This window comes from Homo sapiens, chromosome 13, assembly GCF_000001405.40.
Source record: "Homo sapiens chromosome 13, GRCh38.p14 Primary Assembly".
In the NCBI taxonomy this organism is placed as follows: Eukaryota; Metazoa; Chordata; class Mammalia; order Primates; family Hominidae; genus Homo; species Homo sapiens.
The window spans coordinates 87013307-87031290 of NC_000013.11; the positions used below are offsets into that span (position 1 = coordinate 87013307).

General features: G+C 32.9%; 1 long non-coding RNA gene across 2 annotated transcripts in view; it reads left to right on the forward strand.

Moving 5' to 3' along the window:
• Positions 1 to 17984, forward strand: part of LOC105370301 (uncharacterized) — a 66794-nt gene that overhangs the window by 28921 nt on the left and 19889 nt on the right. For both annotated transcript variants that reach the window (XR_931624.1, XR_931623.2), the window contains exon 2: positions 15824 to 15931. This is a non-coding gene — a long non-coding RNA (uncharacterized LOC105370301). The remainder of the gene's footprint in view (positions 1 to 15823; positions 15932 to 17984) is intronic.

Sequence of the window (17984 nt, forward strand, 5' to 3'; positions counted from 1 at the left end):
CACTGAGGTGATTGGGAAAAGAAGCTAACCGATATCAGTAGGAAATTTCTTCTCATTCACCTCATTATTAGAGCATTTTCTACATTGGAAGCCATTTGGTGAACATTCACCTGAAACACAAATATCTTCACAGTCTTTGCCCAGTTAGAGAGATGCCTAAACATATCGTTTTACCAGAGCTTTTGTGTTACCAGTTTTTCAGTCCTATTCATTCCATTTAGCCAAAACCTTAGTAGCTCACCTGAATTGATGTTGCTCTGTGCTGTAGGCCATATGTAGGACCAGAGAAATTGGACAACCACATTTACTGCTTCAAGAATTTGCATTCACCGCTAACCTTTGGTGATAACCATCCATTCCTGCTTGATCCTAGCCTATCCTGTAGAATTGTTTATAAACCAATGTGTTTTTTCCTCCTAATAAACTGTTTACAAGAAACCAGTTTTCTTGAAGTCATAGGTGTAGATAGAGGGAGCGAAGGCAATGCAGCAGGACTAAGTGTTGAGGAAGCTTGAAGCACTTACTACAAGTGTGCCTAAACCCTTTCATATCATTTCTAGTTGATGATAGGTCATTGCTGTACATTCCTATTCTCGTGACATTTTGTGTCAGATAATATCCAGTCATTTTATGTCCCACAGTTCCGTATTCAGACTTTACCTGATTCTAGGAGCAAGACTGGCTTCATTAAAGCCAGTTTCTCAAAAATAAAATAATTACTGGCAAATGAGCACACAGATAGACATCAGAAACCTAAAAGTCAATGCTGTGATTTTGCCACTGAAAAGCATCTGATGCTTTATACAGTATCCTTACTGACCACAGATTCTTTAAGTACCATGAGGTCTGCTGGTTTATAACAACAAAATGGAACAACACAGTACGGTTTAGCCTGGTTTGGTTGTAGAGATTTCTCTCATCCTCCTCCCCATTCAAAACTGGAATCCTTATGATTACACAATACATGCTTTTCTCAAATGTGGACCACATTACCCATATATTCAAAAAGCCCTACTGGGTGCTGGGCCTGGTGACTCACGCCTAGCACTTTTGGAGGCCGAGGTGGGTGGATCACGAGGTCAGGAGTTCAAGACCAGCCTGGCAAAGATGGTGAAACCCCACATCTCTACTAAAAATACACAAATTACACAAATTAGCCTGGCATGGTGGCGGGCGCCTGTAATCCCAGCTACTTGGGAGGCTGAGGCAGAGAATTGCTTGAACCTGGGAAGCGGAGGTTGCAGTGAGCTGAGACTGCGCCACTGCGCTCCAGCCTGGGCGATAGAGTGAGACTCCATCTCCAAAAAAAAAAAAAAAAAAAGCCCTGCTGGTTATGTCATTTTGTTAGTGCTAGATGACACGAGGCAAATTAACTTGGTTTTACCTTGGAGGAAGATATAGTAACATTTTAAAAAATACTGACCTTAACAGTCTTTCACCAAGGTCTATTCTCAGTTTTTGAATTTGGGTGTGATTTATGTGTAATTATTAGGTATATATGTGTTTGTGCATTTTTTGTCTCATTCTGGAATGCTTCATTTGACAAGCTCTTTTATTCTTGACTATCAAAGACTACAGTAGAATTTCTGGTTGAGTATATCCCATTTTATTTTAATATTCTTGTAAGGCATTCAGTGGAACTTTTGAAACTAGAGCTTGTTTACAAATTTAGGGAAATCATAATTGTATACATATATTTAGAAAAATTATATATAGGGAAATGATATATAGGTATACATATATGTACACCTATATGCATCTCTCAGGTCTACCTCAATTTTATTCTCTCATACATTTGCTATCTTTATATTTTTGTCATATATCCTAGATAATACTTAAATTATATCTTTAAGAACACTGCTTCACTTTTCAACTGTGGTAGTGTATGATTTAACAATTTTGCTGAAATTAATATTTTGATTTTTCTTATTTCTAAAACTTTTATCATGTTTGCTCTTCTTTATTATAGCAATATTCTCTTTCTTTGTAATTCTACCAACTCTGTGCTTTGATGGTCTTTACGGCCTTCTCCCTAATCCTTTTCTCTTATCCTACAATCTCTTTATCAATGTATTAACCCACATAACTTCAAACACAGTTGCACCCCCTAAAATTAGTCATCAACCTGTATCTGTGTGTCTAACTTCAGATGCATAGATCCTGTGCCTTGGAATCAGAAACATCTAAGAGATACATGAACGTTAGTGTGTCCCAACCTGAACTTCTGGTTTTTATACCAACTATATCTAATGGTCTAGTATCATCTATCACCATGAATGATCTTTCATGCAATGTTTCCTCCAGAAACCTCAGAGGAAATAAAACGTCATCATTCTATTTCACCTCTTCATTTCAAACAATTTCAGGCCTTGGTGATTTTCTTTTCATTTATTTATTTATTTATTTAGAGATGGAGTCTTGCTCTGTCGCCCAAGCTGGAGTGCAGTAGCGTGATCTCAGCTAACTACAATCTCCATCTCCTGGGTTCAAGCGATTGTCCTGCCTCAGCCTCCTTCCTGAGTAGCTGGGATTATAGGCGCCCGCCACCACCCCCAGCTAATTTTTGTATTTTTAGTAGAAACAGGGTTTCACGATACTGGCCAGGCTGGTCTTGAACTCTTAACCTCAGGTGATCCGCCAGCCTTGGCCTCCCAAAATGCTGGGATTACAGGCATGAGTCACCGTGCCCAGCCCTTGGAATTTTAATTAGATATGTTTTCCCGATCTTCATTGCCACTATGCTAGACTACGGTGGCATTATATCTCACCAGCGTGCTTGTCTTTTTTATATTCTTCCAATAGATTTTCTAAAGAGCAAGTTAGGTAATTTTTTTTTGATATGTAAGTTTAATGTGTCATTATCCTGAATGAAACAATTCAGTTTCTACTCACTACTTTTAAGTTAGAGGTCAAATATCTTTATATAAGTCAAATGGCTCTCATGATAGGCATCTTTACTCCCTCTGTTGATTCATCACTGTTTTGTTTTTTAATTTATTATTATTATTTTTTAGGTTTGTGGTTACATGTGAAAGTTTGATACATGGGTAAACTCCTGTCATGGGGTTTGTTATACAGATTATTTCATCACCCAGGTATTAAGGTCCACAGCAAATAGTTACGGTGACACTAATTATCAGAAGTTTTTAAAGTTTGTATAATCAAGAGAGGAAAGTACAAAAGAGAGTAGCTAACAACTGAACTTACCCCTATTTACATGCATATTCTTTGTTTGGCTGAGTAGTCACAATTGATTTTAATGTATAAAATAGTAATTTAACATGTATGCTATATATATGTGTGTATGTAATAACAAGAGACAGCTACATAAATATACGTACACATATTCTGACAAATGTCATAGCACACATGAATGTTAACCCTTATTGCTACGACTACTGAAAATTTAGAAGAGCCATTGATTTGGACATTTGTTCTACTTCTACTCATTTATTCTAATGAAAAAAATCTAGAAAATGTGTAACTTCCAAGAATATATGTGTACCTGCTGGCAAAGACTAATGATCTGATCCAATGGGCATTGCATCAGCTGTATAATGAATTCAGTATTATTTAAACCACCATCATTTACTATGAAAAATTATATGAATCATATATTAATATGATAATAAAAGGTTTTATATAAAAGATAAAACCAAAAATTACTAAATGCATACTGAATTAATTTATCAATCAGCAGGCTGGTAAATATACAGATCAACAGAACATTTGAATAGTTAATATCTAATGCTGCTAAGTAAAAACAAGTCCAAATATGGGATCCAGTGTTTTAATGTCATAATAAAAAATGTAATTTAAAATAGTACATATATTTATACTTATATCTAAATCTGCATCTACATATGTGCATGTGCACACATATGTATATCTTTATGTACATATACACTGTAAAACATTAGAATATGTAATATATATAATAATATTACAATTCCTATTTGAAATAAAATGAAAACAAAATGGAGGTATAACACTTGTTTATGGTTGGTTTCTGCAGAATATTGGGACGAGGTTAAAGCTCAGTTGTAAATTCCTGTATTCCACCTGAATACCTCAGATAGGGATCTATGTATTTGAAAATATTCCATGATGCAGTATTCACGGGGAAGTTCTATCTTGGGCAACACATTTTTTAAAAAGGCTTTTTCTCACTATATTTTTTAAATTATTTTTTTTCTTTTTAATTGATTAAGTTTTACTACCTTCATGTGAAATCTCTTCAGCTTTCATTAACATTTTTTTCTCAAGTATTAATGAAATATGACCCACTAATTCACATTTAATTTCCTAGGTGCTACACTAAAGTTGTTGTTTGTGGTCAGTATAGTTTATTATAATTAATTAGAAACTTTTTTAACTTTTATATTAGGTTTGTGGGTACATGGAAAGGTTTGTAACATAGGTAAACACGTGTCATGGGTGTTTGTTGTACAGATTATTTCATCACCCAGGTATTAAGCCCAGTACCCTATAGTTATCTTTTCTCCTCCTCTCCCTCTCCCACCCTCCACCCTCAAGTAGACCCCCGTGTCTGTTGTTTCCTTCTTTGTGTTAATAAGTTCTTATCATTTAGCTCCCACGTATAAGTGAGAACATGTGGTATTTTTTTTAATTTTGGTATTTTCTATAAATTTATTCAGTAGAATGTTTGAGGGTTTGATAAGTAATGCAAACCAAATGTGTCTAGACAGAATTTATTTGCATAGGGAATAATACGTTTCTGATAAGTGAAAAGGTCAGTGTTAAGTGCTGGTGGTTGCTGGGCACCTCAAGGTCAGAAGTCAGATGTAGTTCTTAGAAAGAGAATATAGAGACATATTTTAGGATTATGTTAATTCTCTCATTCTTCATTAAAGCTGTTGTTAAATTGGTGGCTTTCTTTTTCATTTTTTTAATAAAAAACCATGCTGTACACTCATTATCTGTGTAATTTTCCATTAACTGGAAATTTATACAATAATTTCCAGTGTACATAATATGTTTGTTTAATTTTCTAATATTGTACCTCCTTTAGAAATATCATTGAAGCATATGAATCTTAAATCCAAAACTAAAAACTGACTCAATGTTACTCAGTCGATTGTATCCACTTTCCTGACCGGATTGTTTAATGAGATGTAATTTCTTCTTGCTATGTTGACCTGGATAAAGTGGATGGGCAGGCATTGCATGTGATATTACAAAGAACAGGACAGATGGAAGAATAACTTTAAGGGATTCCAATACTAGAAGGTATGTATAACAAATAATTAGAAGGCATACATGACAAATATACAATTATTAGCTGGTGACACTATCTAAATAACATTAAAGTTATTTCCAAATATAATCATAAATATAATATATTTTACAGACTTATAAAAGTCTTGATTAAATTACAGAAATCACTAGTTTCATTCAAGCAACTAAAATACCTTTTGAGGCAGGTGGGTAGAAGAAAAAAATAAGAAAAAAATAAATTATAAACAAATCAAACAACACACCTGCCTCTTTCACAAGAATGTTCTAAGTTTTAGATGAGAAGATATGCAAGAAACTTATTTCATCTTTTCACTCAACAACATTCTGTCATTCAACAATAGTTTACTAATGTGCTCTAGTGCCAAGTATATAATTTCAAAGAAGACAAGAAATATCTTGGTTTTCAAGTAAATTATACACAGGCAGGGGGAAATTAATATAAACAAGCAAATAAAAATAAAATACAATGATTATACAAAATCATAAATAATCTGAAGGAATAAACACAATGGTGTGATTGCCCACAGCTATGTGAAGTAGGGTAATTTAATTTAGACTAGACAGTCAATAAAGATCTAATTGAACATATGATATTTGAGCTGACACCTGAAGAATGAGAAGGAGCCAACCACTCATCCAAAAGAATAACTTTTAATACAGAGAAATAGCACTAGCAGGCCAGAACTACGAGCATTTCATCAAGAAAAAAATAAAATTTCAGGAAAGTGGAAGCGAGTAAGGAGATCATTAGAAAGAAATAATTCTGCAGAGCTAGTTAGAAACCATCACAGGGTAGAAAATTGGCTGTGATTTGCTTTGTGGTATGCTATACAAATACAAAGTCATTAAAATGTTAAGCTGAGTTTGTTGCTACCTAATTCAAAAGACTCTGAGTATTGCATAAAATATTTAGAATATTAATTATTACCAGATAAAAGTCAAGAAGAGTCTACTAATTAGGTGGGTACTGAATTTGAATTAGAAAAATGCATCATCAATACAGACAAAAATAGGTGCCCAGCAATGGTGGATTGGATAAAATATGGTACATATACATGATTAAATACTATGCAGCCATAAAACAGAATGAAATCATGTCTTTTGTGGCAGGAGGGATGCATCTGGAGGCCATTCATTGTCAAATGAAAATGCAGGGACAGGAAACCAAATACCACATGTTCTCACTTATACCTGGGAACTGAACATGGGGTACTCATGGACATAAAGATGGCAATAATGGCAAGACACTGGGAACTTGCTTGAAATAAACAGGGGAAATGGTGGAAAAACTAACTTTTGGGTATTATGCCTACTATATGGGTGATGGAATCATTTGTATCCAAAATCTCAGCATCACACAATATACCCATGTAACAAACCTGAACATGTATCCCCAAAATCTAAAATAAAAGTTGAATTTAAAAAAAAATTAAAATATTTAGCTGAGTGCAGCGGCTCACACCTATATTCCCAGCACTTTGGGTGGCTGACAAGGGCAGATCATGAGGTCAGGAGTTCAAGACCAGCCTGACTAGCATGGCAAAAAACGATGTCTCTACTAAAAATACAAAAATTAGCCGGGTGTGGTGGCGTGCACCTGTAATCCCAGCTACTCAGGAGGCTGAGGCAAGAGAATCGCTTGAACCCAGGTGACGGAGGTTGCAGTGTGCCGAGACCACCCCAGCTGGGAGACAAGAGCGAGATTCTGTCTCAAAAATAAAAATAAAAATAAAATAAAATAAAATATTTTGGATTTAGAACTTTGATGGTTTATTGATGGTTTGGATATTTGACATAAGGAACATAAGACAGTTTCCACTTTTTGACTGATGCAGTTGTTGGATGCTATTTACATTATTGAAATTTATATGGAAAGGAACTGGTTTGGTATAGTAAAAATCTAGTGACATATCAATTCAGAGATAGATATCTCTTAGAAATCAAAGTGAAAATTGCAACCTTCACATTTTATATCTCTTTTTGCACTTTGGTTTTCACCTTAGCAGTAATCATCAACTGATTTTTAACACATTGATCTAACTATGTTCCAGCTTCTTTAGCAGAATGAAAGCTTCATGGGGCTAGTTAATTTGTCTATTCTGTTTAATGCTTTAATGTTATATCCTGATGATATAGAACAGAATAAGTGTTACAATATATGTATTAAATGAATGAATATATATATATAATGAATCTAAATATATATGTAAATATATATAATGAATCTAAAAATATATAAATATATATAATAAATCTAAATATATATATAATGAATCTAAATATATATATAATGAATCTAAATATATATATATATAAATTTTGTTTTCTTGAGACAGAGTTTTGCTCTTATCACCCAGGCTGGAGTGCAATGGCGTGATCTTGGCTCACTGCAAACTTCACCTCTCAGGCTCACGTGATTCTCCTGCCTCAGCCTCCTAAGTAGCTGGGATTACAGGTGCCCCCCACCATGCCTGGCTAATATTTTGTATTTTTAGTAGAGACGGGGTTTCATCATGTTGGCCAGGCTGGCCTCAAACTCCTGACCTCAGGTGAGCCACCTGCCTTGGCCTCCCAAAGTGATGGAATTACAGGCATGAGCCACCGCACCCGGCCTAAATGAATGTAATTTTATGTAGATATTTTATTGTACGAGTCCATAGCACAGGGAAGAGTTTGAGGCTCTGGAAACAATTTTGAAGCTTATCAGCATAGATCCTACATGCTATGGGTTTGGATACAGTGACCTCTGCAGAGAAATTCGGACACAGATTTAAAGTGTTATCAAACCAAATCCATTCCTGAAGTTTCCCAGACTTTAATAGGTGGAAGGATTAGCAAGGAGACCAAGAGAAAAAATACAGAGGAAGAAAAAACAAACAAACGAAAAAACAAACGAAAAAACAAACAAACAAAAAAACAGAAAAACAAAGATAAGTGAAGAGAGAAACCAAACCCTGAAGATGCATGAAAACAAAGACAAATTATTCAAGTGAGACAGAATGGTAGAATATATTCAAATGTGCCGCTAAGCCAGTAAAATGATATCACAAAGTGCCCACTGGATTTGGACAAGTTGTGATCATTGATGAACTGGATAAGTGTAAGGTCAATAAAGGGGAATGAAGTAGATGGACAAGTGAATGGAAAGAGGCATAATTTCTGATATTATGGCTGAAAATGAATCTAGATTTATGAAACTCCTAAAATATTTGATTATTGATATCTATATATCTATCATCTATCTATCGATTTTAATTCATTCATGAGCTAATAAGGTTGTAAGGATATATCATGCCAAATGCAGTAAAGTAAAGCAGTTATCAGCACTGCTTTTCCCCTGAGAAATTTGTTATATAAGAAAAATGTAAACACTGGTTTTCATAGATTCAAATTTTGTGGAAGTGGAGACAACACTTTATGCCAGTACACATGGCAAGTTTAGTAAGATTCTTGCTCATATTATTACAATTCCTAAGGGATACAGCCTTGTCTTAAAGAACCGCAAAAATTAAAAAAAAAGTCAATTTGGCATTTTGTAAAGTGGAGCAGTTTATTCTTAGATAAATTTTAAAGCCAAGCTGACATTCATAGGTCTTTATATACATAATTTGCCTTACTTGGATGTTCGAAAACATCAGCAGATGAAAATATTGAAAGTGATCTGGCACAGTACACACTATTCCAGTGACATGTTCTCTTAAAGCCCAGACCTCATCACTATACAATTCAACTATGTAACCACAAACAATTTGTACCTATAAAGCTATTGAAATTAGAAAATGAATAAATAAACAAATAATAAATAAAATGAAAATATTTAAAGTGATAATAGCCAAGTAAGAAATAGTTTTTAGAGGAATATTGCTTTACACTATTCCTCAGAGTAAACACACAAATATTTTCAAAATAGCATAAACAGCTTAAAGAAAAATAAGTAAATAAGCACAAAAAGAAACAAGGCATGATTTGTGAAAATCAGCAGAAAATGTAGGGAAAAACTGTTCTGCTTGATTTGACATTGGGTATAGTATAAAATAACTATTCCTACAAAGTTTAAATTTAAAAATACAATATAGAATATCTAGAGGAATGAGGAAATTATTGAAATAAGCAGATTTTAAAAAGAGCATATAATTTTTTTTAGAAATTAAGAATATAATTATAGAAAAATAAACCCTAATAAAGTACACTCACTTCTGACTGAGGTAAAAATGGCAGCTGGCTATTCTTTTCTTGCACCAATCAAAGGAAGGAAAAAAACTGAGATACATAAAAATATATAGTTTTTAAAGAAGTAAGAATACTTTGTAAGAAAATCAGATTTAATAAACTGAAATTACAGAGGGACAGCCTTTACAAGGTAAGCAGTTTATCACTGGTATTTCTTCAGAGGCTGTATTTGCTGATTCTGGGCATGGGCTGATTGAACTTCGCCTATAAATAGGTAGCCTGCTGAGGAAAGAAAATCTAGCAAAGATTTGCATGTTTGCAGAGCTCTGCAACAATAATTTTGAAAGTTCTGGAGTCAAAAATGCCTGATTGATTTTATTCCATGGTTCATTAGCTAATTTTTTTTTTCTAAATAGGAGGTGAAGAGTTTCTGGAAGGAAAATATCATTTCTTATAGTCTTGGAATATTTGGAAGAAATAGTCTGATCTAAAGAGAGGAGCCTCTCTCAAACCCAAATGCTGTTTTCTATCTAAGACATTTGCTGTGACTGGATATTGCATGGGGAAGGAAGACAAACTGCAAAACTTGAAACTTCCAAATAACAAACTCCCACAGTTCTCCATTTGAGAAGACAGAAAACAGTCAGATCCTCAAATACAAATCTGTTAGGACTGTTAGGAGTATGCACATAGAACAGAAACAACCAAAGGAGAAGTGATTCTTTCAAAAATTGCAAAAGTTTCCAGACCCGACTAGATCCCTGACTGAATTGAGGTGATCAACCACTCTCTGTCTCCCGGTGGAAAATAAAAATGATCCTCTAAAAGGTATCACTTAGAACTCCTTCTTTTCCTTTCTGTATCTTGCCTAGAATACTATTAAAAAATTAAATGTGGCCGGGCGCGGTGGCTCACGCCTGTAATCCCAGCACTTTGGGAGGCCGAGGCGGGTGGATCATGAGGTCAGGAGATCGAGACCATCCTGGCTAACAAGGTGAAACCCCGTCTCTACTAAAAATACAAAAAATTAGCCGGGCGCGGTGGCGGGCGCCTGTAGTCCCAGCTACTCGGGAGGCTGAGGCAGGAGAATGGCGTGAACCCGGGAAGCGGAGCTTGCAGTGAGCCGAGATTGCGCCACTGCAGTCCGCAGTCCGGCCTGGGCGACAGAGCGAGACTCCGTCTCAAAAAAAAAAAAAAAAAAAAAAAAAAATTACATGTGACAAGACATAGGATAATAATACTGGTAATGAATAGAAATTAATAAACATTGGAATCAAACCTACAGATAACATAGACATTGGGGTTAGTAAATAAAAAATTTAAAATAATCATCATAATAATATAAATACAAAGGTATTAGTAAAAATGCTAGAAAAATAGATAAAATGATGAAGAAAAGTGACATCAATAAAATCAATCACTTCTACATGATACAAATGCTTAAGAAAATATTTTTAAGTAAGAACCCTTTGTATAGGATTAACAGTAGAATGAGGACTTCAAAATATTACTAGTTTACTTGAAAGCAGGTGATTACAAAATATTTAAACTGGAAAAATAGAAAAAGAAAATATCTGTGACACATTCAGAACACAGTACGAGTCTAAAACATGAGTCAACGGAGTTCCAGAAAGAGAGGAGAAAGAACAAATAAAGCAGAAAAGAAAATATATTAAAAAATTATCAAAGGTAGCAACACATAAATTCAAGAAGCTAAGTGAACTCAAAGTGGGAGAAATACAAGGAAAAACATGATTGGAATCATACTGAAACCACTGAAAATGAAAAAGGAAAAGCAATTTTTCAAAGTATCTTGAGGGGAAAAAGACATGTCATCTTAAAGGATCATCAGTAAGATCTGTATCTAAAACAAAAGCAATGATTTGGAAAACATGAAATCGGTCAAATAATTTCAAATACATGCTAATCCAAATATTTAAAAACTATTCTCAATATACATATTCATGGCAAATTAATGTGAAATAATATAATTGCAGACAAAAGAAAACATAGTCTGTCATCAATAGTTCTGCATTACCAGATGTGCTTAGATTGAAACCTACCTTCACTTAACTAGCTAAGTAAATTTTTATAAGTTAATTCATCTCTCTGTCTCAGTTTTATTACCTATAAATATGAGATGTAAATATTGTCTAATTTATAGGGGTATTTAGAGGATTAACTGACTTAAAACATTAAGATTCTTAAATCTATTTTAGGATATAAAATCTTTCTAACATGCTATTTTTCTCAGTATTAAATGTTACAAGCAAAATTACGATTTATGGGTGCAGAGTATCCCATTATTAAATTAATATGCTTTTGTCACTTAGACAATATTATAAGAATACTAAGAGCTAGGTATTGGAATCAATTTAAATCATTTTTCTTGATATAAATCTTCACTTTTCTGCTTTTAGCCTTTATTATGCTGGGCAAGTTATGTTACCTCTTTGTGCCTCTATTTCAGCACCTGTTAAATGCAAATGCCATTTGTAGCTAAAGTATACGGTTGTTGTGAGTTTTAAGCCAGTTAATGTATGTTTAGACATCATCAATTTATAGTAGTAGTTTTTAGTATATGTCATTTATACTCAACACTATAAACAGTCTTGCAATAGCAACTACCACATGTATTGCTATGATCAATTTCCTCAGATAAAATCCTATATTTGGAACTCTGAAGTAAAAAGCTATTAACATCTTAAAGTAATATGCTTCCTCAAATTGCCCTTCAATCAACTCTAGAAATTTAAACACTCACCAGAAATGTAGCAAGTAGCGCATTTATACACATCCTTGATAACAATGAATCCTCTGATTAATTATTATATTCATACCATTTGTTCTGTATTTTACAGCTGAATAAAATAGTTCCTCACATTTTTCTTTACATTTTTCTGTTATTATAACATGATAAATCACTATCATAATACAATGTAATAAATTAACATATTAGGTGGTATTCTAACAGAATTCAATTTCTAAAAGCCATTTGGACTACTAATTAAACACCACAAAACAGACAATTTTTTATCTGCTTATGATTGTCCACATAATATTTATTATAATTATGTCTATTTGATTGGTAAGCAACAATGATATGAATGGATAATTTTCACAGGAAAATGATGACATTCACTCCCTTTAAACTTTTGACTTTTTAAAATTACTAAACCTAATTAAAACTATTTTTCTTCTGATATAAAAGGATGACATACAGTTGTGATTTTATTTCCATTATCTTCTTTGAACTAAAAACAAAATGAAGTAAATGTGCTGAGGCTAATTAAAAGTAGAATGGACACTTTGAACTCATAGATTGTTAGTTTCAGATGTCCTCAGAGATGACTTTAATATGATTTCTCTTCTAATGCTGAAACCCCTTTACAATGTCCCTGATTGTTATGTATTGCACATCAGAAGGGAAATGACTAGTCGTTAGAAAATACTTTCTAATATTGACCCAAGATTTCTCTTTTAGCCACTTTCACTTGCCTGCTTTCAATTCTTCCCTAAGATGTCTTAAGGCATCTTTAGTATATCAGTTTTATAATATTAGAAGAGAGTTTAAAAACCAATAATTTCCTACTTTTTAATAAACCAACTTTATTTTTGGTATTTTAATGCTTTCCGATTTCTACTTATCCTGGCTACTCTCACTGAGGAGCTCAATTTCTCAACATCTTTTTGTACCTAGAAGAAAAACTTTTACATAATTTTATTCAAATTTTCTTAAAAGCCTTACTGAGTATTTAAAATTTTTAAATGACATTTAATTATCTGGGCATTTATTCAATCCACCATGGAATAGTAGTTTAAATACATGGATCTCTCCCCATAAATTCCAGCAACTAAAAGAAACACAGAGGATAACTGAGAAGCATATATATATATATAAATATATAAAATATATATTATATATTATATATAACAAATCAAAATTATTTAATATGCAGCTGTGTATTATTTTATCCTCTACAAAATGTTATTTGAAAAAGTTAAATATGTATGACAATATCCTAGTCTTGACCCTAACCAAACTGAAAATCCTATTAGAAAAAAATTCCACTAGCTCAGTGTACTAAAGATTTAAAAAATGAAAGTCTCTGGAAATATAAATTGAAAGTGATTGCATTGTTTTATTCACAATAACTAAACTTAACTTGGAAACAAATAAAAATTAAGAAGAAATATAAAATCTTTTATAATTATGGTTTAATTAAGTAGAATACAAAAATCGGAAAGAGTAGCAATATTCAACCTTTAGGTACTTTATAGTCAGTGTCTAACTCATATATACATACTTTTTAAAAACGAGGTATCTATCATGAAGTATAATAAAAACTCATCCCAGAGAAACAAAGGATAGGCTTTAAAAAGGCAATTCTTTCTGCTGCTGCAGCTAAAGCTAAAATTGCCCTGCAGGAAATTTTGATTCTCTGGCACATTTAAGTATTTCTCATTTACAAAAGTGAAGTAAGGCAAAAGAACCTGAGGAAAAGCCTCTTTGTTGCATTTTTGTTCACAGCAGTTCCCACAAAAGATCAAATTTTAATGGAAGAAGATTTAATAGATGTTTAGATGATGAGGCAAAAAAATACAACTGCTCCTGCAACTAGTTCTTTTGAAAATGGAGAATCTAAATAATTACTCTTGAGAAATCAGCTTACATGTCTATATCATAGCTTTCCAATTATATATGAATGAATAAAATTGCTGGAGGACATATTTTTTCCCCTCCTTCTCAAAATTGGGTGATAATCTGTTAAAGTCATTGCTAAATGTACCTTCAGATTTGTGGTGTTCTGCTTCTCAACAACCTACTTTAGCTCTTATAAATGCAAGAACATACCCCACATTAATCCTTTCTGCTTAGCCTCTCAGCAGGATAAATTTAAAGCCATCTCAATGGCCCCAAGCAATATTTTTAAAAAGAAGTAAAGAAAAATCCTAATAGGTCATCCCGATCATTCTGATGTCAGAAAAGTAACAATGCTAAATACAACCTTCACTGTTTTATTTCAGACTCATTTTCAAATTCCAAAGTAATAGAGTTTTAATAACAGGAAGATACATTAATGAGGAAAAATGTATACAGTTACGCAAAAGTAGCTCAGTGTGAATTTGCTTGTTATGATACTAAATTTGAGTTACTCATCATACCATCTATACTAAAAGCATGGGTTTGTTCTTAAAATTGATGCATTTGATAAGATGAAATATTCAGATTTATTGTAAATAACAACAGTTATTTAAAATTATGTAAAAGAAATTAACTATACCACAAATAATATAAGAAAATAATTAGTTGAAATTATGTTAATTTTGTCAAAATAAAATGGAAATGTACTTTCAAATATAATTTTGTTAGCAGACCCATAAAATCTATTTTTATTACAATGGACACATACATTAATGTATAAATTATAGGGAAACTTGTATAACCTATATATATATTCTTTACAAATACATGGCATAGATAAACTTAGCTCTTTCTAGATAAAACCTAAAGATATAATAGAGGACTTTACTGTAAATGTATGCTTATAGAGCTTCAAAATTACTAGAAAATTTGAAGTACCAGGTTTTACATATTCTGTTAGAAATTTATTTTTTAAACCATTAGTTCTGGTTCTTTGTGTGGTGTTTGCATGGATATGAGGCTGAGATAATGTATATATTACGAAAAAGAAACAATGCCTGTTCTTTCATACATATAGTCATGGGAAATACGTGATATGATGATTGGAGTTTTTTTGGGGGAGATGCCAACATTTTTTTCCGTTCAAAAGACATAAAGTTTACAGCTGTAAAAGACAGAAGTACACTGTTGTATTTTTTTTAACTTAACATTCTATTTAAATCAAGGGTTATTTTAAACTGATGACAGATTTTCTTAATAACTCATAGAAGAGACCTATAGGTGTTTCCATGAATGAGATAGCATTTTTAAATGTTAAGAATTTTAAAAAATCAATGATGAAGAAAAAGTCTTGATAGTAGAATGTGGATGGAATAGTAGAATGTGCATGGAATAGTAGAATGTGGATGGGATAGTAGAATGTGGAAGGTATCCAAGTTCAAGTGTTAGATATGTTATTATGACCACGCCTTTGAAATTAATTAATCATAATCATTTACTAGCTCTGTGAAATTGCACAGTCCGTATGATAAGAAGCAAAAAATTATCAAACTAAATAATCTATATTATCAATTGGAGATGGTGAAAGGGTGAGCATTAGCAATGTTTTATCAAAATGATTTTATCATCTAATTTTTTCTTCAATGCAACATATAAAATGCATACATATTCTGATCACAATACAAGAATGTTTGTGTCCTGGTTCCCAGTAAGATGAAGTAAGCATATTTTACCTAATTTCTCCCACAGAACACAGAACACAAACATTGAACCTGCTGAGCCTGTATGAAGCTACTATCCCAGGACTGTGAAAAGTAGACTAGTTGAGGAAGAATTCAAGTCGACACTGAACTAGTGGTAAGTTACCAACAATTTGTCCCTGTTTTCAGGGCCAGGACACTACGCAGACATATTTGTGGTTTACACAAAAGTGAGAATTCATGTTCAAAGGAAGAGAACACCACGAAAAGCTTTTGTCTGATTCAAGGAGCTGAAAAGTGAACTCAGGATCACAGAGTGGAGGGATTCACGGAGATTACAACAACGTATTACAAGAGTTGGAACTCTTATAGGTGAATATTCCTTTCTTAGTGGTAAGGCAGTGGTCCCAAGAGGCTGGAACAAACCACTATTGCTCTTAGACCTCTCTCTCTCTTTCTCTATCTCTCTCTCTCTCTCTCTTTCTCTCTCTCTCTCTTTCTCTCTCTCTCCCCTTCTAAAACTTAAAGATTGAGATAGGTATAGTCATCGAAGTGTGCCAGAGATTCTGGTAAGTAAAGCCAAACTTTCTAGATAAAGAAGCAGAAAGAAGAGCCCCAGAGAACCAGAAAGCTCTAGGAAGATTACAAGGCATCAGTGGGTGGGAAAGTGACCCTCTAAAGTTTTCCATGAACTCCTAGGCTCACTCTTGAGCAGAAGCAAAACAAAATGAAACAGAAAACCTCAAAAAATAAATGAAACATATAAAGGAGAATTAAGTGGAAATGTTAACGGACACAACATAAAACAGACTTACTGAAAAATGCACTAGATGAGCTTAACAGCAGGATGAAAATGACAGAAGAGACATTGAACGTCAAGTTAAATCGACAGACATTATCCAATCTGAACAACAGAGATGGAGAAGGTGCAAAAAAGAAGAAGCAATCCTCAGGGACCTGTAAGAAATTAACACCATGATAAATATTTATGTAATAGGAGTTCCAGAAGGAAAGGAGAAAGAAGGTGGTGCTGAAAATATTTACAAGATTAATGGCTGAAAGTTTCCTAGATTTGGCAAAAAACTTAAATCTATAAATTCAAGAAAGTCAGAGAATCTTAAATAACATTAATTCAAATAATGCCATGATTAACTACATAATAACAAAACTGTGCCAGACTAAGAAAAAGAAAAAATTCTGAATGTAGCCAGAGCAAAATGACACATAACCTGCAAGGGAGCAAAAATTTGTAGGACATCAGAGTCCTAATAAAAATATTAATAATAAAGAAAAAGGGACATACTATTTTTAAAGTGGTGAAAGAAAATTCTAGTTCTATTGGATATATAATTTAGAAATGAATATGAAATAAAGACATTTTCAGACGAAGAAAATGTGAGAAAACTTATTATCTGCAAATCTGCTATAAAAGGATTGCTATTAAAATAAATTATTCAGACTGAATGGAAATAATGCCAGTGAGAGACTTGGAGCCTTTGCAGTGAAGTAAGAACAACTAACATGGGCAGATATACTAATTTACCTTTTGAGTTTTTATAACACACTTGATGATTGAAAGCAAAAATTATAGCACTGCCTAACTTGATTTTCACTGGATGTAGATGAAATATATTATAAAACTAATTAGATATACAGGGACTGATATGGTAAATGTTGGTTGCACACAGAGTGTGAAATTTGAGTACATATGTTGCAATCTCCAAAGCAACTACTAAAAGAAACTGGTATTGAGATAAAATCAAAATTATATATCTTAAAATGCATTACTAAAAAATGTTCAAATGACCCAAAGGAAACACAATGTAAATCAGAGGGAACAAAGGAAAACAAATAAGGAAATTATAGAAGTAATTCCAAATGTTTCAATGATTGGAATAATGTAAATGATATAAATGTAAATGACCTAAATACACCAATAAAAAGATAGAAATTGCCAAAAGGGATAAACAATTATTCAACTATATGCTGTCTTAATAATTGATTTCAAACAATTATATATTTTTAAAGTAAAAAAGATAATTAGTGTTTGTATGTTAAGCAAACACTGTATATTAATACAGTATCTCTCATTGCCTAAAAAAGGCAGAGAATGAGCCAGTCCTTACCTGACTTCAAAATCACTTTACCTTCATTGCAGATAGCATGTGCTTATCAAATTCATTTTATCAAATTACTTAAGAATATCAACA